The following is a 25,928-nucleotide window of genomic DNA, read 5'->3' on the forward strand; positions in this document are numbered from 1 at the left end:
ATTGTATTAATATAAATGAATATAAATGGTACTTTCTCCATTTTAATCCTGGAAATTAGGCAACCTTCTGGGTTAAAGCAAGCGTTCTCCGCCACTGACTAACAGTGAGTGTATAATGGATCTGTTTCCCCACAGATAGCCAGCTGTCTGCATTAATTACAGGACTGCATGCATTTCTGGTGAAGAGACTTTTATTTCTGTGTCAGGCTTGTTCTCATTCCTAAGACTAAAGTGGCACTCTCTCTCAATGCTTGACACTTAGCCAAGAACCAAACATATCCTTCACCCAATTAAGAACACATGTATTAAACAGTCAGCACAGATGGAGAGGCATCCTGCTTCTTGCTCTGGCTGAGACCCAACACCTTCCTGATTTATTTGGAATTAATGATAAATACAAAGCAAAGAGTAGGCTATTGGTGATCTAAACAAAATGGTGTGTAAATAAATCTCAGCTCCGACCTAGGCACTCACTTGCTGCCCAGAATGATTCTTCGGTGCTGTGTATGATTATGTGCATAAAAATCTGTTGAGAGCTCTGTTGCCTCACAAGGCAGATGATTCAACGTAATGGGTATTTCTGCTGCCTGAGACTGCATAAGCTGAAGCACTGGCTGGGAAGCAATGTCTTTATAAGGCATCTTTCCCCAGAGGCATGAGGGTGGACAGCACTGAGGGGGTCATGAGTCGGCTTAGAGAAGTGAGGAGTTTTTGTTACTGTGTGTTCTTGATTCAATTTGGAGTTCAGGTATAAATCATCATAGCTCTTAGTTAAAATCTGTCTCAATGAATCCGCTATCCATGAGAGAAAGGTTAACACTGTCTCTGCCACAAGGAAAATATGAAATACTGAGATCTACCCTGCCTATAGCAAAACTAGATCAAGAGCCTACCTAAAGCTGTATACAGGCCAGCTAGGGCCAAAACTGGTGCTTAGGATAAATACAGCATTCCAAGCAGAGCTATAGGAAAATAGGTTTTGTCATTAAAAATAAAGTTTTGGACAGGCACAGTGGCTTATGCCTATAATCCTAGCATTTTGGGAGGCCGAGGCAGAAAGGTTGCTTGAGTCCGGGAATTCGCGACCAGCCAGGGCAACAAAGCCAGACCCCGTCTTTACAAAAAAAATATTAAAAATTAGCCAGGAGTGGTAATACTTGTCAGTAGTCCTAGCTACTTGGGAGGCCGAAGCAGGAGGATTGCTTGAGCCCCAGAGTCCAAGACTGCATTGAGCTATGATTGCATTGCACTCCAGCCTGGGCCACACAGAACAAGGACCTGACTATAAATTAAAAAAAAAAAAAATTGTATCTTCCTGTTTCCCTCCTTATATATATATGTGCATGTTGCTATTAGGCTATTTGAGTCCAGTCACCATTTTTACCTTTTACCCCAAGGAGGGGAGGAGAGCACTTATGTAAGAATCTAGTCTTAAAGTATAAGTTGTCTTGTTATGTTTCTTATTTATGTTACATAGTCCTGAAACCTTGTTTAGAAGAGACACTTTAGTATCTGAGAAAGGCTTGTTTGCCTTACGTTCTCCATCTCAACCTATTATGGCTTTGAGTGTGTGTGTGTGTGTGTGTGTGTGTGTGTGTGTACACAGGATCCCAAAGCCTTATGACTCGTTAAGCTGTCTGACTGAATTTTTGACACTCAATAAAAAATGAAGCTTCAAAATGCTCAACTCTCAAAATAGTACAGTAGTTTTGTTTTTGTTTCTTTAAACTGTGCTTAAAGTATGGAAAGACTGAACAATCTCAAAGGTCAGCAGTAATGATGTTATTCTTAAAGGGGCCCTGTGGGTCTTTTTTATAAAAGCAGTGTCATATCCTTTTTATGTAATCAATATGTTGCAGGAACAATAATTTCTTACCATTAATGTGGTGTCTTTTACTTTTTAAAATATCTTCATGTCTGTTATCTTAATTTGGTTTATACAGGAACGCAGATTGAAAAAGAATTTTATTTTCTGCAGTTAACGCCACATTTTTTCAGCTTAAAAAACTAAATTTCACTTTTCTATATTCTTATATAGAGACTAGATAACTGCTGCTTGTGTAGCTCGATGTCATAACAGATGGGTAGTTCCAAATTCAATTTGGTTGTAATCTAAGGGTTTTTTTTTTTGTATACCTTTGTCAAGTTATTATTGACATAAAGTGAACTGTATGTATTTAAGTGCATAATTGATGAGTTTTGACGTATGTATTTACCAGTGAAACCACCACTGCAATCACGATAATGAGCATATCCATTACCCCCCCAACATTTCCTCATGTCCCTTGGTAATCCTTCTCATTCTCGCCATTCCCCCGTCCCTAGGCAATCACTCATCTGTTTTCTGTGACTCTAAGTTAGTTTGCATTTTCTAGAATTTTACGTAAATGGGGATGAACAATACCTGTCACTCTTGGTAGATTTCTGCGTTGACTGAAAAAAAACAGAATGTGACCTTCAAAGTGGTGGCATTCTATTGCTTGAATCCAAGTGTCCATTATGTGAGGTAGAAGGCCTTTGATTTCTATCTTTTTAATGAGATCCTAATGTTTAATAAAAGTAGCAATAACTGACATTTGTTGAAAGCCAACTATGTGCCAGGCATTGTTCTAAGCACTTAGATATATTTTCTCATTTAAACCTTACAACAATCCTATGAAGCCGGCACCATTGCTAGCTCCATTTTACAGATAAAAGAGACCAAGACACAGGCCAAACAGCTAGAAAATGGTAGAGTTCAAACTCAGGCAGTATGGGACTTGAGAGCCACCACTGCCTTCCAGATGTAACTAGAAAATTCAAGCCTTCTAGTAGCCTTAATACCAATAGTGAAGCATAACAGTGAGTTACATAGTTCAGGAGCCAGAGTTCCATGTGAACTTGGAGCTGACTCTGAGATCTGATGCCTGGAGCTGTAGCCCAAAACTAAATGTCTTTGTACTGCTGCAGTTTTACCTGTGTCATCAATTATTTCTTCCTTGCATGGTTTTATCTTTATTGGAAATTGATTTCCCACCCCACACATTTTCATGTTTTCTGAAAGTCTTTTAAGATTTGACCTAAATTTTTGTTTTCTAGATGATCCAGATCCTGATGATGGATTTAACTATAAACAGATGATGGTTAGAGATGAGCGGAGGTTTAAAATGGCAGACAAGGATGGAGACCTCATTGCCACCAAGGAGGAGTTCACAGCTTTCCTGCACCCTGAGGAGTATGACTACATGAAAGATATAGTAGTACAGGTGGGTGAGATGAAGGATTCTGAACAGGGACTCAGTTTCTCTTTTTGTGGCTTATTCTGTCTTTCCCCTTTAGCCTTATATAGCATATCTTATATATATATATGCTATATAGCATATCACTGTATATGCTATATAAGTATTGGCCAGATTCAGAATCCAAGGTCTGTCACTGTTTTTCTGTGACCTTGATCAAGGTGCCTTGGGCATTCTGTTTAGTATGATAATACCTTCTGTCATATAATGTATTTTGCCATTTCATTGGTAGCTTCATATTGTAAGAATGGGGGGAAATCCCATTATTTAAAATATCCCATGACCAATAGTCAGACATTGAGTAATAACAGTGATACTAAAGAACTCTCACAGAAGGCAGTTACTGACAACATAGACTATCTATAGCTAAACACATAATCACTGGTCACATCTCCTGTTAGTGTGACTTTAGCATGACTAAGGCTACCAGGTAGATCATCATGGGCTTGATGGGATAGTTTGTCATTAAGCAGTGTCAGTGTTCTGTCAGGAAGACTCAGTTATTTTAGATTGAAGCATAGGAAATTGCTCATGTTTTACCATTTCTTGGCTAGAAATGGTTTTAACCATACAGACACACATGCATACATACATACATACATACATACATGTACAAGTGTGTTTAATGAATAATAAATGTTTACCTAAACTAGATACTTTACTTTCTTCTGGCAAATTCAGAGACCAACTTAATAGTCTCTTCTTATTCTTTCCTGTTTAGGAAACAATGGAAGATATAGATAAGAATGCTGATGGTTTCATTGATCTAGAAGAGTATATTGGTAAGTCTCTGCTTTTAGTGTTTTTCTTAGAAAAGCTGAGAAGCTTTGAAAGGTGTATTTGCTGGCTGGGCACAGTGGCTCATGCCTGTAATCCCAACACTGGGAGGCCGAGGCGGGCAGATCACCTGAGGTCAGGAGTCCAAGTCCAGCCTGGCCAACATGGGGAAACCCCGTCTCTACTAAAAATACAAAAAAATTAGTTGGGTGTGGTGGCGGGCGCCTGTAATCCCAGCTACTCAGGAGGCTGAGGCAGAAGAATCGCTTGAACCCAGGAGGCGGAGGTTGCAGTGAGCCGAGAACACGCCATTGCACTCCAGCCTGGGCAACAAGAGTGAAACTGTCTCAAAAAAAGAAAGAAAGAAAGATGTATTTGCCCATAGAAACAATTTACTCCAAGGGTCAATTCTCACTAGCTCATTAGCTGTCACCAGATCATTAACCAGACCAGTGTGATAGTGGGTTGTGATAAAGTATCCGTAGCCACATTGCCCAATCAAAATATAAATGTGAGCCCCATATGTAATTTTAACTTTTCTAATAGCCACATTAAAAAGTAAAAAGAAACAGATGAAATTTCAGTAGTTATTTAACCTAATATTCTAAAACTCTATAATTTCCACTTAATGTAAATTATTGAGGGTTTTTTTTTAATACTTAAAGCACATCCCAGCCACATTTCAAGTGCTTAATAAGCACCTGTGGCTACCATCCTCAACAGCACAGATATAGTGTATCCTGCATGCTCTATGGAACTGATGGTAAAGAGTTGCAGGGGGCTGGGCACGGTGGCTCACGCCTGTAATCCCAGCACTTTGGGAGGCCGAGGCGGGCGGATCACAAGGTCAGGAGATCGAGACCATCCTGGCTAACACAGTGAAACCCTGTCTCTACTAAAAATACAAAAAATTAGCCGGGTGTAGTGGCAGGCGCCTGTAGTCCCAGCTACTGGGGACGCTGAGGCAGGAGAATGGCATGAACCCAGGAGGCAGAGCTTGCAGTAAGCTGAGATCATGCCACTGCACTCCAGCCGGGGCTACAGAGCGAGACTCCGTCTCAAACAAACAAACAAAAAAAAGAGTTGCAGGGAGCCCAGACTGACATAGGGAAACCCAGGGAAAGGAGATAGGGAATAGATTAAAAGATGGATAAATAAATGACGGGGAGTTGCTGATCCCTCTTGTAGCCATTCCTTTTTACTGTGTTCTGTTCATATTTTCTCTCTGATTCTCTGACTACTTTCCTTTTGTTTTTTAAGTTTCTCCCTTTTGACATTTCCCTTTTTAGTTGTCTAAATTTTTTTAAAAAAATTGTTTTGGATGTCACACCTTCAAGGCTAATTTCTCCCAAGTAAAGCTCTGTTTTATTATCATCAGACTAATTTTAAGATATTCTCATTGCTTTAAAAAAAAAAAGCTGTCTTTCTTACCAAGTAGTTGAGCAAATTGTTTCCCAATTACTGTGACAGAAATTAAAATGAGTAAAGGAGCTGGGTGTGGTGGCATACCCGGTTACTTGGGAGGCTGAGGCAGGAGGATCACTTGAGTCCAAGAGTCTGGACTATAGTCACAAGTTCATCATCAATATGGTGACCTCCTGGGAGCAGAGGATCACCAGGTTGCCTAAGGAGGAGTGAACCGGCCCGGGACAGAATCAGAGCAGGTCAAAACTGTGCTGATTAGTAGTGAGGTTGTGCCTGTGGATAGCAATTGTACTCCAACCTGAGCAACATAGCGAGACTCCATCTCTTTAGAAAAGTGAGTAAAGATGGAAAGTATAAGACTGTTACTACAAATGTCATTGTTACAAATACTTTGTTTAGAAAGATATTAGATATTTTAATATTTCACATACTTATTGTCATTTGTAATAACTTATTCTAGCACACCATTGGTTTTGTGTTTCAGATAAGCCCGTTTGTTTTTAGACCTCTGATAGTTACCTGAAATGTTTATTTGAAGCCTGAAAGGAAGACTTAATCCTTACCTCTATCACCTGTCATTAAACTGTATGGAGCAAGTCACTGCTTTACTTAGATGTTGTCTTATCATACCTGTTGTTTACATGCTAGAGTTATTCCAATTGAATTACTCCTTGACTGTTTACCTCCCTTTTCTTAGGTTCAGTGGCATACTTTGAACTTTTTAAAGAAGGATGAGCAATGGAAGATAGGATGGATGTTTTCCTAAACTGATTTTTTTTTTTTTTGGAGAAGTTTATCAGGACAGTGGATAAGTGCCTAGGTGCATTTACTGAGCCCACGTTGATGTTACTAGGGTTTTCTACTTTTAAATGATTTATCTTTTTATTCTTGGCTTTTGCCATTTTATTGCCATTGCTAAAACTGAGGAACTCATTTGAACCTCCCAAGGAGAGGAATTTTTATAACTGTTAACTACATCACTTATCAAGCATTGAGGCCAAATAAGGAGATATTTCTGTCTCCCTGTGTATCATATAGATTCAAGGGCAGAGGAGTTATATTTTGAAGCTACCAAAACTATCTTGTGCATGTGTGCTTTTTTTTTTTTTTTTTACAAGTCAGTAACTAATGCAAACACTTTTACATCTGGGATGCTGGGCTTTGTAAATCTAAAATTCTCCCAAACAGTATCTTTCAGCTTCTAGTGCCCTGTTGAAGGAGATCATGAAGAAACAAAGTTCTTCGCCTCATAAATTTAGCATTAAAAAGAAGCCCCATCAGTGCCTGTGGAAACATAGGGAAAGAAAAAAAAAAACACCCAAAGTTGTGCTGATAATTATTTTTATTTTTAAAATTTATTATAGAGCATTGCAGACGTACACAACTTATTTGTTTATTTATTTATGTTTTTTTTGAGACAGTCTTGCTCTGTCACCCAGGCTGGAGTGCAGTGGCGTGATCTCCACTCACTACAATCTCTGCCTCCCAGGTTCAGGCGATTCTTGTGCCTCAGCCTCCTGAGTAGTTGGGATTACAGGCATGCACCACCACACCTGGCTAATTTTTGTATTTTTAATAGAGGCGGGGTTTCACCATGTTGGCCAGGGTGATCTTGAACTCCTGGCCTCAAGTGATCTGACCACCTTAGCCTCCCAAAGTGCTGGGATTACAAGTGTGAGCCACTGCACCTGCCCCCAAATTAGAATAGTATAATGAATCCCCATGTACCTATGCCTAACCTCAACAACAATCAACTTACAGCCAGTTTTTTCTCAGCCACATCCACTTCCTTGCTTCCTTCTTACTTTGAAGTAAATCCCAATCATTATGTCATTTCATCTGTAAACATTGAGGTATATATGTCTAAAATATATATGTGTTTCTAAAAACATTTTTTTAAAGATAATGTCAACCCAAGAAAATTAATAATACCTTCAAATCATCAAATAGACTGAGTCTTTTAAAAATAGAAATTCGGCCGAGCATGGTGGCTCATGCCTGTAATCCCAACACTTTGGGAGGCTGAGGTGGGCGGATCACAAGGTCAGGAGTTAGACACCAGCCTGACCAACCTGGTGAAACCCCGTCTCTACTAAAAATATAAAAATTAGCCAGGTGTGGTGGCATGTGCCTGTGTAATCCCAGCTACTCAGGAGGCTGAGGCAGGAGAATCGCTTGAACCCAGGAGGCGGAGGTTGCAGTGAGCCGAGATCGCGCCACTGCACTCCAGCCTGGGCGACAGAGCAAGACTCTGTCTCAAAAAAATAAAGTAAAATAAATAAAAATAGAAATTCAAATAGTTTATCATGGTCACCTAGCTTTAAAATGCGCTTACGTTGTAGTGTATTGTGTATTCTAGCTTCCTTTAAAACCATATCTTTTAAGCATGTGTCTATTTCCTAATTCAGAACTTTCCAATCTGTATCCTGTGAGTAAGTCTTCTTGGCTTTCAGGACAGCTAGGGCAGGAACCTGATCCAGTGGACCGTACAAACTACATTTTCTGAATGTGCTGTAGCATGGGAAAAAATTGGCAAGTCCTGCTGTGAGGAATTTCTCTTGTGAGTTTAAGACAGAGGAGTACTTCTACCCTTAACCCTCAAGGTCAGGAAAATGGCAGCACTGACTAAATAATTACCTTTGCTTAGAACTTGCAGGAACTATTTAGATTTCTCTTTAGGTGTTTTCCCATACCTTACATGCAATGCAGGTACACTTAACTTAGATGTCGTATAACTCAAGCATTTTCAGACTTGTTCACTTAAATAACTCCTGAAAGAATTTGACCAACAGCATTCCCTTATGTGTTTTAAAGTTGGCATCTGAAATATTTAATTAAGAAATTTAAACAGTTGTAAAGAATAGTCTCTGTTGGGCCGGATGCCGTAGCTCATTCCTGTAATCCCAGAACTTTGGGAGGCTGAGGCAGGTGAATCACTTGAGCCCAGGAGTTTGAGAACAACCTGGACAACATGGCGCAACCCTGTCTCTACAAAAAATACAAAAAAAAAGAAAAAATTAGCCAGGCATGGTGGCGTGTGCCTGTAGTCCCAGCAACTCAGGAGGATCACTTGAGCCTGAGGGTTTGAGGTTGCAGTGCACCGTTATTGTACCACTGCACTCCAGCCTGGGCAACAGAGCAAGACCCTGTCTCAGAAGAAAAAAGAATAATCTCTGTTGGTGATAAGCATTGACATTTTGAAAGTAATTCGGAAAGAAATCTATAAAATTTAAATACAAGATACCATAGCAACTTCTTACCTGCCGTCTTTCATATGAATAATTTGGACACGACAACTTTAAAAAGATAATCAAGAAATTTAAATTCAGTCTGGGTATTAGATGATACCAAGGAATTGATTTTGTAAAATATGAAAGTGGCATTGTGGGTATATAAGAAAATATCCGTAATTTTTTACATTTCATAATAGTTAAAAAGGAAATGTTTCTTTGGTACTTTTTTTTTTTTAGTTATGGCGTTTGGTTAGCAACAATGTGACCATCACTTAATTGCCCTTTTTTTTGTTTAAATTTATAGGGATTTGGGGATATTTATACTACTTATCAGTCACCACATGATATTGTCTTAAAAAAATAAATGAATAAACTGTTAACCAACTTGGACATTTTACACGCATCCTGTTTCTTCTTCTTCTTCTTTTTTAAAAAGACAAGAGTCTCATTCTGTTGCCCATGTTGGTGTGCAGTGGCACAATCACAGCAGCCTCGATCTCCAAGGTGGGGAGATCAAGTGATCCTCTCACCTCAGCTGGGACCACAGAAGAGCACCACCACACCCAGCTGATTTTTTTTATTATTATTCTTATAGACATGGGTCTCCCTACATTGCCCAGGCTGGTCTGGAAATCCTGGGCTCAAGAGCTCTACCTGCCTTGGCCTCCCAAAGTGCTGGGATTACAGACATCAGCCACCCGACCTCCTGTTTCTTTTTTTTCTTTTTCTTTTTGAGACAGGGTCTCACTCTGTCACCTAGGCTGGAGTGCAGTGGCATGATCATGGTTCATTGCAGCCTCGATCTGCTAGGCTCAAGCCATCCTCCTGCCTCAGCCTCCCGAGTAGCTGGGACTGTAGGTGCATGCTGCCATGCCTGGCTAATTTTTGTATTTCTTGTAGGGATTTTGCCATGTTGTCCAGGCTGATCTCAAACTCACAAGTCAGCCTTCTATTTGTTAGATTCATTTGCAGTTTACTTCCTCAACAGAATTATATTCTGACATATTTTATCTTGAAGCCTTAGTCACTTTGACATTCTTATTTGCAAGAACATTGTGTATGTAAATTGAAATATGGAAAATGGTGTTCTGTGATATGGCTCTTAAGTGTTTTTAGAGTCTTCTGTGTTAAGTTACTATTACAATTATTAATACACAATTGAACAAAATAACATTTATTACAGACGTTTTATGTTTATATATTTTTAAATGCATTTCTTTGACACATTTTTATTCAAATAGTTTCATATCCATGGATGACAATTACTTATCCCTAGAGTGAAATGGGATTCAGCACCAATTCCTAATTTTTATTTTTTAGAGGAAGTACTAACAGACCTTGTTTACATTAGTAAATAAGTTGATGGAAGATTTGTCATAGCAATATTGCTTAGTTCTTGGAACTCCTTTTGAGTTACATGCCAGAAATCATGTAATCTATCATCAAAAATTATGGGTTTTGTTTGTTTCAAGGTGGAGTCTCTCTCTCTCACCCAGGCTGTAGTACACAGGCACGGTCTCGGCTCATTGCAACCTCTGCCTCTGGGGTTCAAGCGATTCTCCTGCCTCAGCCTCCCCAGTAGCTGGAGATTACAGGTGTGGGCCAGCACGCCCGGCTAATTTTATTTTTTATTTTTAGTAGAGACGGGGTTTCACCATGTTGGCCATGCTGGTCTCAAACTCCTGACCTCAAGTGATCCACCCGCCTCAGCCTCCCAAAGTGCTGGGATTACAGGCATGAGCCACTGCACCCAGCCCAAAAATTATGTTTAATGATCCCTTAGCTAAAACTCAATTAGGCCATTTTTCAAGGTTTTTTTTTTTAAAGCAAAGAATTTAAAACCTTTTGACATGCAAACGAATTTATTCATTTTTTTTCAGGCATTTGCATTCTCAAGACTGACACTAGTATTTCTTTTTCTTTTTTTTTTTTTTTTTTTTTGAGACGGAGTCTTGCTCTGTCGCCCAGGCTAGAGTGCAGTGATATGATCTCGGCTCACTGCAACCTCTGCCTCCTGGGTTCAAGTGATTCTTTTGCCTCAGCCTCTCGAGTAGCTGGGATTACAGGCACGCACCACCATGCTCAGCTAATTTTTGTATTTTTAGTAGAGATGGGGTTTTGCCATTTTGGCCAGGCTGGTCTCAAATTCCTGACCTCAGGTGATCTGGTCTCAAACTCCGACCTCAGGTGATCTGCCTGCCTAGGCCTCCCAAAGTGCTGGAATTACAGGTGTGAGCCACCACGCCCATCCAGACACTAGTATTTCTAATTGTTTCTTTTTCATTATCTTGGAGCTTTTTACACTCTAGTTTCAAAATGGTTGAAAATATGCCTTTCTTTTATAAAGTGGGACAAGGGCAGTTGTGAAAGGGGGGAGATGGGAAAAAAGCCTTGATGGCCAGAGGTACATTCTTATGAAGATCAATTTTTGGAAAAATCTATATGTGGAACTGAGTATCTGGAATTTGATTCTCTCTTGACTGACCTTTCTCAGTGTACTCCTTGACAGTGTTCCTGTTTCCCCAGGGGCGTGCTTGTCCCAACTGAAGGCCACTGGTATAATGGACTCTTTGTAGTAATTGGCTACACCTTTCTAAAACAAGTGGTCCCGTTTAATTAGCTACCTTAGGGTGAAATGAAATGTAGGGAACGAGTCTAAGTCTTTCTTGATGGTAGCTCTCTCCTCTTATTTCTGCATTTATTAAGGTATAAGAACTCTTTGCTCTCATGTGACTTAAAATCAGCAGCTGGAAATATTCTTGTTGCAAGATAAGTGATTAAGCCTCAGGAAAATACCTTGCTTTCTAAGGTCTGTCTGGCCTAAAATACCCTTGTAGCTGCTGTTGGGTTCCAAACAAATGGATGAGGAAAAAGGGTTAGGCCAGATTAGCATGAGGCAGTTTTGGGGAAAAGACAAACCCTTCTTTTGTATGTATGTCTGTGTACCCAGGTGACATGTACAGCCATGATGGGAATACTGATGAGCCAGAATGGGTAAAGACAGAGCGAGAGCAGTTTGTTGAGTTTCGGGATAAGAACCGTGATGGGAAGATGGACAAGGAAGAGACCAAAGACTGGATCCTTCCCTCAGACTATGATCATGCAGAGGCAGAAGCCAGGCACCTGGTCTATGAATCAGACCAAAACAAGGTAAGTCTGGCGAGGCCCACACGCTCTATCCTTGATTGAAGTATGCTTCTAGGGGATCACCTGAACAGTTTCTGTTAAGGTGCATAGAGCATTTAAGGTCTTAATTAGTCTAAGTCAGCCAAGTATCTGAATCTGGCGATTAAAACCTTTCAGGGCAGCACTAGCTATCTGATCTCATTTTAGAAATCCTTTTGCCCAGTGCTGATAGCATTGTAGGAAATTTGGCTTCAGAAAAGAGCCTTTGTGTGTAGCCTGTGCCCAGCATGCATCATCAGGTATTTTTAGATCCCCAGGAATTTTTTTTTTTCTTTGTTACTTCATTTGTTCCTTTACCTATTACAGGCCCATTCTGTCTACTCAAAGCTGGTTGTTTCCTTCTTAAATCAAATAGGCTTTTTTAAATTGGGTCCTTTGTATGGGCTATAAATCAGCTTTTCTCTGGAGCCTGTTCAAATTGTCCTTGATCAATTAATTATCTGAGGTATTTTGTTAAAAGTATTGTTGTCCCTAAGCCCAGTCACCTGCTTCAGAGATTACTCCTGCCCTGCTTGGAGTAAGCTGAAAATCGGTCTAAAGATGGAGATTTTCAGTGTTCTGAGTATATTTTTGTCTAAGCTAATCTTCAATTTCAAATTCAGTTTTTTATTTTAGAGCCTTTTTAAGTGTTGATCTGCTTTAAGTTCTTGCTCAAAGTCACTTTAGTAGCCAGGTGTTGTGTCCTGAGATGTATGAGAAAAGGAAATGCATGTAGTCATCCCTATCTAGGAGATGTTCCATATTTTCCTCTAAAAGGAGAGTTTTCTCCTCATGAAACAAACCTTTATCTCTAGCATTGAGTTGTTGTGTTATATTCTTTCCACCCTTCCACTTTTAACTTTCTTGATAAAAGAAATGTTTAATTGGCCTGGCACGATGGCTCACGCCTGTAATCCCAGCACTTTGGGAGGCCAAGGCAGGCGGATCACCTGAGATTGGGTGTTCAAGACCAGCCTGACAAACATGGAGAAACCCCATCTCTACTAAAAATACAAAATTACCTGGGCGTGGTGGCGCATGCCTGTAATCCCAGCTACTCGGGAGGCTGAGGCAGAAAAATCACTTAAATCACTTTAACACGGGAGGCGGAGGTTGCGGTGAGCTGAGATCGCGCCATTGCACTCCAGCCTGGGCAACAAGAGCGAAACTCCGTCTCAAAAAAAAAAAAAAAAAAAAACAAGGAATGTGTAATTGCTGTTTTCTTCCCTCTTCGTATGTATGTAGGGGGAATGAGGGCTGAGTAGTTCACACTTAATTTAGTAGAAATGAGAATCTTAACTTCTGATTAACCCCAATTCTTCTATAACAGTGTTTCTGAATTTTTAATGGGAAATATGTTCTTCTTCAATTCATTGCTATCTCTACTTTCAGGATGGCAAGCTTACCAAGGAGGAGATCGTTGACAAGTATGACTTATTTGTTGGCAGCCAGGCCACAGATTTTGGGGAGGCCTTAGTACGGCATGATGAGTTCTGAGCTACGGAGGAACCCTCATTTCCTCAAAAGTAATTTATTTTTACAGCTTCTGGTTTCACATGAAATTGTTTGCGCTACTGAGACTGTTACTACAAACTTTTTAAGACATGAAAAGGCGTAATGAAAACCATCCCGTCCCCATTCCTCCTCCTCTCTGAGGGACTGGAGGGAAGCCGTGCTTCTGAGGAACAACTCTAATTAGTACACTTGTGTTTGTAGATTTACACTTTGTATTATGTATTAACATGGCGTGTTTATTTTTGTATTTTTCTCTGGTTGGGAGTATGATATGAAGGATCAAGATCCTCAACTCACACATGTAGACAAACATTAGCTCTTTACTCTTTCTCAACCCCTTTTATGATTTTAATAATTCTCACTTAACTAATTTTGTAAGCCTGAGATCAATAAGAAATGTTCAGGAGAGAGGAAAGAAAAAAAATATATGCTCCACAATTTATATTTAGAGAGAGAACACTTAGTCTTGCCTGTCAAAAAGTCCAACATTTCATAGGTAGTAGGGGCCACATATTACATTCAGTTGCTATAGGTCCAGCAACTGAACCTGCCATTACCTGGGCAAGGAAAGATCCCTTTGCTCTAGGAAAGCTTGGCCCAAATTGATTTTCTTCTTTTTCCCCCTGTAGGACTGACTGTTGGCTAATTTTGTCAAGCACAGCTGTGGTGGGAAGAGTTAGGGCCAGTGTCTTGAAAATCAATCAAGTAGTGAATGTGATCTCTTTGCAGAGCTATAGATAGAAACAGCTGGAAAACTAAAGGAAAAATACAAGTGTTTTCGGGGCATACATTTTTTTTCTGGGTGTGCATCTGTTGAAATGCTCAAGACTTAATTATTTGCCTTTTGAAATCACTGTAAATGCCCCCATCCGGTTCCTCTTCTTCCCAGGTGTGCCAAGGAATTAATCTTGGTTTCACTACAATTAAAATTCACTCCTTTCCAATCATGTCATTGAAAGTGCCTTTAACGAAAGAAATGGTCACTGAATGGGAATTCTCTTAAGAAACCCTGAGATTAAAAAAAGACTATTTGGATAACTTATAGGAAAGCCTAGAACCTCCCAGTAGAGTGGGGATTTTTTTCTTCTTCCCTTTCTCTTTTGGACAATAGTTAAATTAGCAGTATTAGTTATGAGTTTGGTTGCAGTGTTCTTATCTTGTGGGCTGATTTCCAAAAACCACATGCTGCTGAATTTACCAGGGATCCTCATACCTCACAATGCAAACCACTTACTACCAGGCCTTTTTCTGTGTCCACTGGAGAGCTTGAGCTCACACTCAAAGATCAGAGGACCTACAGAGAGGGCTCTTTGGTTTGAGGACCATGGCTTACCTTTCCTGCCTTTGACCCATCACACCCCATTTCCTCCTCTTTCCCTCTCCCCGCTGCCAAAAAAAAAAAAAAAGGAAACGTTTATCATGAATCAACAGGGTTTCAGTCCTTATCAAAGAGAGATGTGGAAAGAGCTAAAGAAACCACCCTTTGTTCCCAACTCCACTTTACCCATATTTTATGCAACACAAACACTGTCCTTTTGGGTCCCTTTCTTACAGATGGACCTCTTGAGAAGAATTATCGTATTCCACGTTTTTAGCCCTCAGGTTACCAAGATAAATATATGTATATATAACCTTTATTATTGCTATATCTTTGTGGATAATACATTCAGGTGGTGCTGGGTGATTTATTATAATCTGAACCTAGGTATATCCTTTGGTCTTCCACAGTCATGTTGAGGTGGGCTCCCTGGTATGGTAAAAAGCCAGGTATAATGTAACTTCACCCCAGCCTTTGTACTAAGCTCTTGATAGTGGATATACTCTTTTAAGTTTAGCCCCAATATAGGGTAATGGAAATTTCCTGCCCTCTGGGTTCCCCATTTTTACTATTAAGAAGACCAGTGATAATTTAATAATGCCACCAACTCTGGCTTAGTTAAGTGAGAGTGTGAACTGTGTGGCAAGAGAGCCTCACACCTCACTAGGTGCAGAGAGCCCAGGCCTTATGTTAAAATCATGCACTTGAAAAGCAAACCTTAATCTGCAAAGACAGCAGCAAGCATTATACGGTCATCTTGAATGATCCCTTTGAAATTTTTTTTTTGTTTGTTTGTTTAAATCAAGCCTGAGGCTGGTGAACAGTAGCTACACACCCATATTGTGTGTTCTGTGAATGCTAGCTCTCTTGAATTTGGATATTGGTTATTTTTTATAGAGTGTAAACCAAGTTTTATATTCTGCAATGCGAACAGGTACCTATCTGTTTCTAAATAAAACTGTTTACATTCATTATGGGGTATGTATGACCTTCATTTTCCAAGAAATAGAACTCTAGCTTAGAATTATGGATGCTCTAAAATGTCAGAATGGGAACTCTCCTCGAAGTTCTCCCAAACTCAGAGACAGCACTGCCTTCTCCTAAATGATTATTCTTTTCTCCCTGTTTTCTGGTATTTTCTAGCATCCTTCTCACCACAGCCATAACCCTTTTTTACTTCCATTAGGCCGTATAACTGGAGAGACCTGCTGCTCGTTATATAATTATCTGATACCAAACACAAGCGATTCTGAATGTACACACACGTTTATCTATAGAGCATAAGGTAAAACAATTTTGTTTAACATTTTGGTATTGTTTACAAATGTTATTAAAACATGCAAATTCATTTTGAGAACCTCGAGAGAATTAAACTATTAACTTTAGTAAACACACAGTTTAAGACAAATATAAAGGTTTAGCCAAATGCAACGGGGAGGAAGCACCTGGAATAATTTGTGCTTGCTCAGGGGCTTGTGGACATGGCTGTTCCTGCCAAAGCTGTAGCAGTTATCCAAAAGTTCTTTCAAACTCATATTTGGGGCCACTGAGTTTTTTTTGTTTTTTTTTTTGTTTTGTTTTGTTTTTTCTTTATGTCTCTCCCATTTCTAAAGTGTTTTCTTAAGTTTGTTCTAATTCAGCATATATCATCTCAGAATGGATCCCCAGCAGGAAAAAAAAAAAAAGTTACTAAAAAGGAAAGTATCCATACACTGAAAACTTAAAGCATATTCCTTTTTGGTTGCCTTGTATGTAGAAATCAGTTCTCCAAGTGCTGTGAATGGTGCCACTTAGGAGTAGAAACTGATGATTGTTGAAATGGCCTTTGGGTGGTCTGAAATAGACCAGTGGAAACAGTAGCTTTGTAGGCAAGAAGGCAATAGTAAGAAAATGAAAAATTGACTCCCCAAACTGCCATCACTCCTTTTACCATCTTTTTTGTGTTTTTAGTAGTTTGGTTTCTGACGGAGACAATAGAAACTTACTTAAAAGTAAAATTTAATTCTAGCTGTTGCAAACAGGCCAATATTGGGTCCTCAGTTGGGGCCAACTTGGGTAGACGAGACAGTAGAAACTTCTGTTTTCTGGGAGCTGCATGTGTCGGATTCATCTGTCATGGCCTTCCCACACACCATCTTCATGATGCAAGCTTGGAACTGGAGAGAAAGGTACAATTGGAGATAACCTTGGCAGATGAGGAAGTATGGGAAAAAAGACCTTATTCTCTGTATCACCAAAGCCTTGCACAATGCTTTGTACCCAGAATGCCCTTAGGTGGTTTTGAATCTATCTTCCCCATCCTGAAAACTATCTAGATTCCAGTCTAGAACTACTCCTGGGTCTACGGTAATCCTAAACTGGTCAAGTCTGAGACCTCACTGTTGGTAAATTCACAAACCATCCTGCTTCATAAAAGCACTGTCAGCAGAGGCCCCTCCATTACTAGCAGGTGCTCCCAGCTGGAAAGGACTGCCAATTCTCTTCTATCCAGGGAGGTTTCAAATTAGTTTTGAGTCTACCTCTGGGATTGAGGAAACAATACCATCTGAAAGTAGGGTTTTTGCCACTTAGGGTTTGGTGTTTATTAGCTCGGATTTCAGATGGGATAGGAAATCCCCCAGTACCTTCAGATGATAAGATATTTTAGAGATTTTTGCATGTGGTATGATTTCTGTGCTTCACACATGCTCGTGCAGGCTAAAAGTTGGAAGGGAAATGATTAAGAAATTATTAAATGCAAGGACTGAAAATTGAGAGGAATCTGAGTTTTTATTTTTATTTTTTTAATTTTATTTAAGTTCCAGGATACATGTGCAGGATGTGCAGGTTTGTTACATAGGTAAACGTGTGCCATGGTGGTTTGCTGCACGAGTTTTTCAATAAAATGCTTTCATTCATCCTGTTCTTTGGAGCAACTTCATTTTCCTGACTCAAGTTCTTTCCTCCGGGGTTCTATTTTCTCGTCTTGATAACCGTGCCTTCCTCCCTGTGCTTACCAAAGGCTTCCCAACCTACTCGGGGGTTTTGTGGCTTCCCTCGTCTACTAGAAACCTGGGTAGAGTCCAGGGTGCTCTGAGTTAAAAGTCAATGGTGAGAAAAGAACCAGGGTCTTCTGGACCATAGGAATGTGAATAAAGAGCTTTACCTGCTTATTCATGAAGCAGTAGATGATGGGATTGTAGATGCAAGCACTCTTGGAGAAGAATGAAGGAATGGTGACAAGCCGTAAGTCCAGCCCATGGTTACGGTTGTTGACCATGTACATGGCGAAGGCCGCGTAGGGCACGTAGCAGACACAGAAGGATCCTACCATCACAACCACCATGCGGCTCACCTCCCGTTCAGCCTTCTGGGTCGTAGCTGACTCCTGCTGCTGAGCTGCAACCTGGGGTGGAGCACGGAAAGCATCACATCTCTCTTTTTCCTGGCCCTCTGGATGCTTTTTTTTTTTTTTTTTAATTTTTAATTTTTAATTTTCTTTTTGAGACCGAGTCTCGCTCTGTTGCCCAGGCTGGAGTTGCAGTGGTGCAGTCTCGGCTCACTGAACCTCCACCTCCCGGGTTCAAGTGATTCTTTTGTCTCAGCCTCCTGAGTAGCTGGGGTTACAAGCACACACCACCATGCCCAGCTAATTTTCGCATTTTAGCATTTTGCCATGTAGGCCAGGCTGGTCTGGAACTATTGACCTCAGGTGATCCGTCTGCTTCGGCCTCCCAAAGTGCTGGGATTATAGGCGTGAGCCACTGCGCCCGGTCTCTGGATGCTTTTCTGTGGGATGGGGGAGGGGGCATCCACTCTGATTGCCTCTTTTCTGTCCCATCTCCTGGCCTAGTTCCTTTGGATCTCCATCATTCTCCCTCCTCCTACTTCCTTTGCTGCTTTTAGATACCCTCTCTGGCTATGGACATTTCCAGGCATCTTATGTTTCAGAGCACTCTTCCTTCTCATGTGGAGCCCCGAACCCCTTCTTCCCTGACTATCAAATGCCACTCACAGCTTTCAGGGCCCTCAGCAGCTGAGTGTAGGAGAAGCAGATGAGGGAGAGAGGCACAATGAAGCAGAAGATGAAGAGGAACCACGTATAGGACTCGCTGCGGTATTTGGTGCCCACGGTGTACCAGTCAGGGCCACAGGAACACTGCAGGCCCTCAGGGATGAACCTGCAAAGGACCAAACACTTGCTCACTGGACTCTCCACAAGAGTGCAGTGGGAGCTGAGATGCCTGGATTGTGTTCTCCACTTAGAACCCACGGAATGCCCTAAGGCTTCAAGCAGGGGGGTTTTCTGTCCTGACTGGGAGAAGCTACAGCAATTCCAACTGCAGAGTAAACGTTAGCACTTGTCTCCCACTGCCCTTTCGCCTCATATTGCAACTCTTTAAAAGTAGAGGTCAAAGACTAAATAGTTATACCCAAGCTCTCTTTCCACCCACATCAACCTGAGCTCCTAGTTAACTCAGCACCACTGCCCTGCACTCTCACCGGCTCCAGCCAAAGAAGGGTGGGATGGAGACGCCAATACCAATGGTCCAGGTAGCCAGGACCACCGTCAGTGCATGCTTGGAGCTGAAGCGGAAGTTGCCGAAGGGCTTACAGATGACAATGTAGCGCTCAAAGGCCAGGAAGGCCAGTGACCATCCTGTAACCAGACCTGTGGTGAAATGTGAGGATAATGGGCTAGACAGAGCCCCACCCAGCCTGGCTGGCAGAGTGGCAAACAGATCGGGTGGAGCAAGCACAGAGAGACAGGGCTGGACTGACATTTGGAGTGAAGACTCAAACATCCTATTTTAGCCAAACTTCTAGTCTGGGTTGCTTTGTACCCCAGTATTTTAAAAAGCACCAGACTCATTTCCCCCAGACTCCTCTTTAGGAACCCCCTCCAGTGGAGTAGCAACCTTTGCCTTCCCCTAACCCCTTTTTCCCCTGCAGTACCTGCTACAGTGCCCAGGAAGCCCTCCAAAGCACAAACATGGCGACCGAAGACGAAGTATCCGTTACAGCTGGCGACGAAGACAGGGAAGACAGAGAAGATGCAGAGGAGGAAGCCTCCGAAGGACACGTTGACCAGAATGTAGTTGAGGGGCTGCCGCAACTTTTTGTAGCGCAGTGTGGCCACCAGCACCATGGCATTGAGTGGGAACCCTATAAGGAAGACAGTGCCCATGAAAGCTGCCTGGAGGTAGAAGGCCCAGACAGGGGCAATGTGGTACTGAGGCCCATCCCACGGCCCCACTGAAGAGATATTTTTGAACAGATAAAACTCTTCCTCCGACATTTTTCTCATGGATGCCCCACACCCCCCTCTGAGTCCTCTTATAGGTGATCCTCCCACCCCACAAAACCCCTCCTCTAAAAACACTTGGGCTCTGTGAATGATCAATACTAATCCTAAACCTCCCAAGGACAAAGTTTGGGATTAGAAATCCCTAAACCACTACCTAAACCTTTTGTGGCCCCAAAGCCGATTGTGTTCTTCAGAGGATAAGAGATTGGGCTCAAATAATCTGGATATGCAATGCTGGGTGCTGGGATGAACAGAAGTGGACTCCCTGAGGTCTGGGAGGTGCTGACCCATATTCACTGAAGATGCTTCCACTTTTTTGTTCTTTTAATGGGGCTATAGAAAGGGCACGCCTCTTATTTTGGCTTCTGGCACAACTGTATCAGTTAAGTTTTCCTCAACTCATCTGCCCCTTTGTGGAAGGTGCCCATCTTAAGTCTGCTGAGAGGCTAGGAACCAGCCCTGGGCTGCAGGAAAGGGCTGGGAGTGGGGAGTGCCCTGGAAGCACATCAGTAAACAGCCTTGATGGAACAGGACTTAGGCAACTTGACAATGCCTAGAGGTCTAGGGCATCCCTGAGCCAGGCTGCCTCCATTTCTTTGTGTTGAATCTACTCAAAGAGTGTGCCTTTCCTACTCAGACCTCCAGCCAGGGAGGTGGGTCTGTTCACTGTCCTTACGCCATGTTCATGCCTACCCCTACCCTTAGCTCAACAAGTCGCCACAGTCTTCCTCCTGTCTGTTCATTGAAGTCTTATCTAGCCCTCACAGCCTACCTCACAAACACCTCTTCTGTGCAGCCCACCCCAGTGACACCAACTCTGCTTTAAGTTCCACCTGCACTTGTACTCAGTACTACACTTTAGGCTTTATGAATGAATCTTTTCCACCTCAGCAGATCATAAATATATAGATGAGTTGGCCGGGCGTGGTGGCTCAAGCCTGTAATCCCAGCACTTTGGGAGGCTGAGATGGGTGGATCACAAGGTCAGGAGATCGAGACCATCCTGGCTAACGGTGAAACCCCGTCTCTACTAAAAATACAAAAAATTAGCTGGGTGTGGTGGTGGGCGCCTGTAGTCCCAGCTACTTGGGAGGCTGAGGCAGGAGAATGGCGTGAACCCGGGAGGCGGAGCCTGCAGTGAGCCGAGATCACGCCACTGCACTCCAGCCTGTGGGACAGAGCGAGACTATATATATAGATGAGTTAAAAGTGACACACTTTAGGTATAAGTAAGTTTAAAAGTGAAAGGATGGTCCAGTAATGGCAGAATAGTTTATTAGATGAATGCCCCCTTAGGCAAAAAAATTGTAAACTGGACACAATATGAAAAACAACTTTTTGAAAACACCTAAAGTATCCAAAGCAGGCAGAAACTGAAAGGAACTCAACTCTTCAATGAAAAGAACCATCTACATTGTTGTTTTTTTTTTTCCCTGAGTGTACTCCCGAGTATAAATGGCACAGGATAGCTAGAACTTGAGCAGAAAGCCCCAGCCTTTTTTGGCTTGAAGAGTCAGAGGACAGAGGACAGGAGACAGAGGACAGTTTGGGACTCCAGAACAGCTGAAGGTGGATTTCCTGGAATGAAAGAAGCCACAGAAGGCAAAGTCTTTAAATCTGCATATAAACTCCCCTCAAATCATAGGCTGACTGCTGAACTGTGGATGGAGGAATTTCCAAGAGCCCAGTAAAAGACAACCACTGGAGGTCTGAAAGAGCTAAGCAGATTTTGACTGTTACCCACTGTAGCAGAGAAAGAGTTTGAATTTGAATCCCAAGTCAGAGGGTCTGGGTAAACACTTAGGGCTTTCTACTTGAAACTCCCAAAAGGCCACACCATAGAGCTAAAATCTATATCCCAGGACTAAATATTTGTTCTGAGAGTAAGGTCAAAGCCAAAGCTGACTCATACTAGCAAAAGATAAAACCAAGCCTCAGCGGGTTCAAGGTGATCAACTAGTAAGTTAATTGCTTATTAGAACAAAAATCAACACCCCTCAATGGAAGATAACCCAGTTTCTAAAGTTCACTATCTACAATGTCTAATATACAATGAAAAATTAAAAGGCGTGTGAAAGAAAAAAAAAACCCACAGGAAAATATGAGTCATAGCCAAAAGAAAAAGCAAGCAATAGAAACAGAACCTGAGATGACCCAAGAAGTTGGCACCAGCAGGAAAAACTTCAAACAGCGATATAAATATATTCAAGAACTGGAAGGAAAAAAATGATCATCGTGAGTTAATGGATCTCAGCAGAAGAATGGGAAAAATAAAATAGCCAAATGGAAATTCCAGAACTGAAAACTACAACATGTCAAATGAAGAATTTACTAGATGGCTGAACAGCAGATTGGACAGCAGAAGAAAGGATCAGTGAACTTACAGATAGATCAATAACAAAAAGATATCTGGAAAATCCCCCAAACACTTATGAATAAGCAATATACATCTAAATATCCTGTGAGTCAAAAGAGAAATCATAAGGAAAAACTGAAAGAATTTCAGCTGAATAACAACAAAAAAGTATTAGAAATTGAAGGAGTCAGCTAAAGCAGTACTTAGAGAAAAATTTATAGCTTTAAGTATTTATACTAGACAATAAATGTTTAAAATTTAAACTTTCACCTTGAGAAGCTGAAAGGGTGAATCAAATCTAAAATAAATAGGGGCAGATACTAAAAAGCAGAGCAGAAAACATTGAAATTAAAAATGAATAAAGAATGGAGAAAAATCAATGAAACCTGAAGCAAAACAAAATAGTTCTCTCCTGTCTCCAGCATCTCCTCAGTAGGATCTGAGCCAATCTCAGGTCACTGCAACCTCCATCTCCTGGGTTCAAGTGATTCTCTTGCCTCAGTCTCCCATGTAGCTGGGATTACAGGTCTGTGCCACCATGCCCAGCTAATTTTTGCATTTTTAGTAGAGACAGGGTTTCACCATTTTGGCCAGGCTGTTCTCAAACTCCTGACCTCAGGTGATCTGACCACCTCGGCCTCCCGAAGTGCTGGGATTACAGGCATGAGCCACTGTGCCCAGCTGACTTAATTATTTCCGAAAGACCGCCACTCTCATGTGCATGCGCACACATGCACATCCCACACAAACACTCGGCCGCAGGTGGGAGTCCTGGTGGAGGTTACTGGGGAGAGCCAGCTAAGGGTCCAGTCAGATTGCCTGAGTCATGGGGGGAACAGGGTGGGAGGGCACTGTCTGGGAAGGTGTGAGGACAGTATTAGGAGGGGCCAAAGATGTGGCCACCTAGCCTTGTACAGATGAGCAGAGCTGCTCATCCGTTGCCCTGGGCAGGACTTCAGGACCAGGGCCAGAGGTCACCTTAAGGTGCCTATCCCTGAGCAGGGCACATGGACTGTGTGTGAGCCTGGCCTGCGTGGAACAAGCCAGCCTCCACTGTCCGCTGGGCTCTGCTGAGGTGCCCACCTCTGCAAACATTTCTGATGGGAGGCTAAATGGCGAGGGTGCAAGACACCCCGGGCCCTTTTACATCCAGTGTACAAGGCTAGGTGGCCACATCTTTGGCCCCTCCTAATACTGTCCTCACGCCTTCCCAGACAGTGCCCTCCCACCCTGTTCCCCCAACAGCAGAGGGAGACAATGGGCCCAAGCTGGAGGCAACCCAATCCCTGAGGGGCTCAGACCAAAAAGAGCCTCACCCAAGCGCAAAGTCTTACCGGTGCTCAAGCCATGGACAAAAATTCTCCAAAGTCATGGAGGCCACGGAGTAGGAGGAGGCAAGCTTCTGAGGAAGGGGCATGGGGTAAAGGAGGAAGAGAAAATAGAAAAACTGGAGGCAGACTGGGCACGGTGGCTCACACCTGTAATCCCACCACTTTTGGAGGCCAAGGTGGGCAGATCACTTGAGGTCAGGTGTTCACCAACCTGGCCAACATGGTGAAACCCTGTCTCTACCAAAAAATACAAAAATTTGCTGGGCATGGTGGCGCACTCCTGTATAGTCCCAGCTATTTGGGAGGCTGAGGTAGGAGAATCGCTTGAACCCAGGAGGCAGAGGTTGCGGTGAGCTGAGATTGTGCTGCTGCCCTCCAGCCTGGGCAACAGAGCGGGACTGTGTCTCAAAACCAAAAAACAAAATAAAATAAAAAATAAAAACTAGAGGCATCTTAAGTGCATTTAGTTATACAGTGCTCTTCCCAGGCTGAAAATCACCTTATTAATTTAGAACATGTTAATACACTAAGGCTTTACAGAAGATCACATGAAATACACTTAGACCAGGATTTCTCAACGTTGGCACTATTGACATTGCAGATAATTCTTTGTCTGGGGGCTGTCCTGTGCATTGTAGGATGTTGAACAGTGTCCCTCTCCTCTAGATGCCAAAATCAACACTACCAGCCCAGTCATGATAACCAAAAATGTCTCCCGACATTGTCAAATGCCTCCTGAGAGACAAAACCCTTCCCCACTCCCCTCCCCTCCAGCTGAGATCCAACCATTGATTTAGATTTAGACTTACAAATGCTCAGAACCCAATATAATACAATCAAGTGAAAATTTGTTTTTCCATATATATATGTGTGTGGCCGCATATATATATGGCCAGGCGCAGTGGCTCACGCCTGTAATCCCAGCACTTTGGGAGGCCGAGGCAGGTGGATTACCTGAGGTCAGGAGTTCAAGACCAGCCTGGCCAACATAGTGAAACCCCGTCTCTACTAAAAATACAAAAATTAGCTGGGCATGGTGACACATGCCTGTAATCCAAGCTACTGAAAGGCTGAGGCAGGAGAATTGCTTGAGCCCAGGAGACGGAGGTTGCAGTGAGCCGAGATCTCACCACTGCACTCCAGCCTGGCGGACAGAGTGAGACTCTATCTCAAAAAAAAAAAAAAAAAAAAAAAGGAAGAAGAATATTCAGAGAAAAAGAAGTTTCCTTTCCACCCAGCCTCCCAACTACTCAGTTACCTTCTCAGAGGCAACCAGTGGTAGCTTCTTGCTGTTTTTTATATATATAGGAGGTGACAGTGAGCTTGAGATGATGTGTGTGACAATGTTGTCTGTTAAATACTAACCCATAAGGCTCTCCAGACAAGTGATAAGGGAAGAACTGACATGCTCTTGTGAAAATGAGGACTCAGGATCTGCCTAAAAGCCATCCCCACACTTAGGAAGAGAGTGAGGAAGCTCCTGGAGGGAGGGCCATGATTCTCCCTAAGAGACAAAGGAGCAACTGACGGCCTGAAGTCCTACTGCATAGATGAAGGACACAGTGATTTTAGCCTGGAAGCAAATTTAAGGTATGTACCAGTGAATTTCCACCAGGGCCATGCTCCTCTCCACCGACTCCACCATCTAGGAGGCTTTTGGAAGCATGCGGGGTGTTTCATGGCCATCACAATAGTGGAGAAGGAATTACTGGTATTCAGTGGACAGGATGCAGCTCCAGATCGGCCACACAAAGAAGAATGATCCTGCCCCAAATTCCAACAGCACCTCTGAGAGAAGCACTGGCTAGGACCCAACCCTGGTCTCAGCTCTGAAACATCTTCAGCAAAGTTCCCCTAGGAGCCCTAGCTTTGAGCAGCATCACTCTCTGGCACGCTCACCAAGAGGAACAATTTAGGGAATGTGTGCTGAGGTAATGGAAGGACATGTTGCATGCGCTTTTATTTATAAGTCAGTTTAAAGCTGGGGAACGGCAACCCAAAAAAGTCTCTTTGGTTTGAGAATAGATGAGCTGTTGCTTTCCTCTCTGGCCATGATTAGTTAGCAGAGCCAGTTGTCTGGTTCAGACACTTCGATGGAAATCATACAACTTTAGCCCCTGAGTACAAAAGAATGCTGGCCAATGTATTCTCTAAAGTGAGGGCCATTCTTCCCACCTATCCAAGGGAGGGATTGGTTCAGTAGGAATCCTGCTTGAAAGGATGGAGTGTGGGCTGGGCACAGT

General features: G+C 42.3%; 2 protein-coding genes and 1 pseudogene across 7 annotated transcripts in view, besides 9 other annotated features; 2 read left to right on the plus strand and 1 right to left on the minus strand.

Annotated features, from left to right (window-relative positions):
• Positions 1 to 17,608, plus strand: part of CALU (calumenin) — a 34,042-nt gene extending 16,434 nt beyond the window's left edge. For 5 of the 6 annotated variants that reach the window (NR_074086.2, NM_001199671.2, NM_001199672.2 and 2 more), the window contains 4 exons: positions 3,079 to 3,245; positions 4,000 to 4,060; positions 11,664 to 11,863; positions 13,271 to 17,608. Coding sequence is in view for 5 of the 6 variants with exons in the window: in NM_001199671.2 (NP_001186600.1) it covers positions 3,079 to 3,245; positions 4,000 to 4,060; positions 11,664 to 11,863; positions 13,271 to 13,375 (533 nt within the window). In the remaining variant the exon portion in view is untranslated. The remainder of the gene's footprint in view (positions 1 to 3,078; positions 3,246 to 3,999; positions 4,061 to 11,663; positions 11,864 to 13,270) is intronic. The other variant, NM_001199673.2, reaches the window with a different exon arrangement.
• RN7SL81P (RNA, 7SL, cytoplasmic 81, pseudogene) lies at positions 5,546 to 5,806 on the plus strand (annotated as a pseudogene).
• On the minus strand, positions 16,693 to 20,002 carry OPN1SW (opsin 1, short wave sensitive). Its single transcript, NM_001385125.1, has 5 exons — positions 19,647 to 20,002; positions 19,194 to 19,362; positions 18,706 to 18,871; positions 17,857 to 18,096; positions 16,693 to 16,867 (listed from the first exon to the last, which is right to left on the minus strand). Exons 1-5 carry the CDS (start codon positions 19,987 to 19,989, stop codon positions 16,748 to 16,750), a joined length of 1,038 nt encoding a protein of 345 aa, NP_001372054.1. The 5' UTR covers positions 19,990 to 20,002; the 3' UTR covers positions 16,693 to 16,747.
• Positions 19,988 to 20,555: a transcriptional cis regulatory region, noted in NCBI's record as "HB569 fragment in AAV vector transgene in rat or dog; includes the OPN1SW basal promoter". NCBI's record gives its function as "blue cone and bipolar cell expression of OPN1SW" and the evidence as "EXISTENCE:transgenic organism evidence [ECO:0001131][PMID:16877422, PMID:18337838]".
• Positions 19,988 to 25,409: a biological region, named in NCBI's record as "blue cone (S) opsin upstream regulatory region". NCBI's record gives its function as "regulatory_interactions: OPN1SW".
• Positions 19,996 to 20,990: a transcriptional cis regulatory region, noted in NCBI's record as "HB996 fragment in AAV vector transgene in rat; includes the OPN1SW basal promoter". NCBI's record gives its function as "blue cone and bipolar cell expression of OPN1SW" and the evidence as "EXISTENCE:transgenic organism evidence [ECO:0001131][PMID:16877422]".
• Positions 19,999 to 20,468: a transcriptional cis regulatory region, noted in NCBI's record as "hB-0.47lacZ transgene in mouse; includes the OPN1SW basal promoter". NCBI's record gives its function as "blue cone and bipolar cell expression of OPN1SW" and the evidence as "EXISTENCE:transgenic organism evidence [ECO:0001131][PMID:8207464]".
• Positions 19,999 to 21,098: a transcriptional cis regulatory region, noted in NCBI's record as "1.1 kb blue opsin/lacZ transgene in mouse; includes the OPN1SW basal promoter". NCBI's record gives its function as "blue cone and bipolar cell expression of OPN1SW" and the evidence as "EXISTENCE:transgenic organism evidence [ECO:0001131][PMID:8146162]".
• Positions 19,999 to 23,798: a transcriptional cis regulatory region, noted in NCBI's record as "3.8 kb blue opsin/lacZ transgene in mouse; includes the OPN1SW basal promoter". NCBI's record gives its function as "blue cone and bipolar cell expression of OPN1SW" and the evidence as "EXISTENCE:transgenic organism evidence [ECO:0001131][PMID:8146162]".
• Positions 19,999 to 25,409: a transcriptional cis regulatory region, noted in NCBI's record as "hB-5.4lacZ transgene in mouse; includes the OPN1SW basal promoter". NCBI's record gives its function as "blue cone and bipolar cell expression of OPN1SW" and the evidence as "EXISTENCE:transgenic organism evidence [ECO:0001131][PMID:8207464]".
• Positions 20,197 to 20,218: a response element, noted in NCBI's record as "conserved RORE2 site; the orthologous mouse site is required for transgene activation in vivo and acts in synergy with retinal cone-rod homeobox factor (CRX)". NCBI's record gives its function as "OPN1SW promoter activation in response to retinoid-related orphan receptor binding" and the evidence as "EXISTENCE:sequence alignment evidence [ECO:0000200][PMID:16574740]".
• Positions 20,275 to 20,296: a response element, noted in NCBI's record as "conserved RORE1 site; the orthologous mouse site is required for transgene activation in vivo and acts in synergy with retinal cone-rod homeobox factor (CRX)". NCBI's record gives its function as "OPN1SW promoter activation in response to retinoid-related orphan receptor binding" and the evidence as "EXISTENCE:sequence alignment evidence [ECO:0000200][PMID:16574740]".

This window comes from Homo sapiens, chromosome 7 (assembly GCF_000001405.40).
Source record: "Homo sapiens chromosome 7, GRCh38.p14 Primary Assembly".
Classification (NCBI taxonomy): Eukaryota; Metazoa; Chordata; class Mammalia; order Primates; family Hominidae; genus Homo; species Homo sapiens.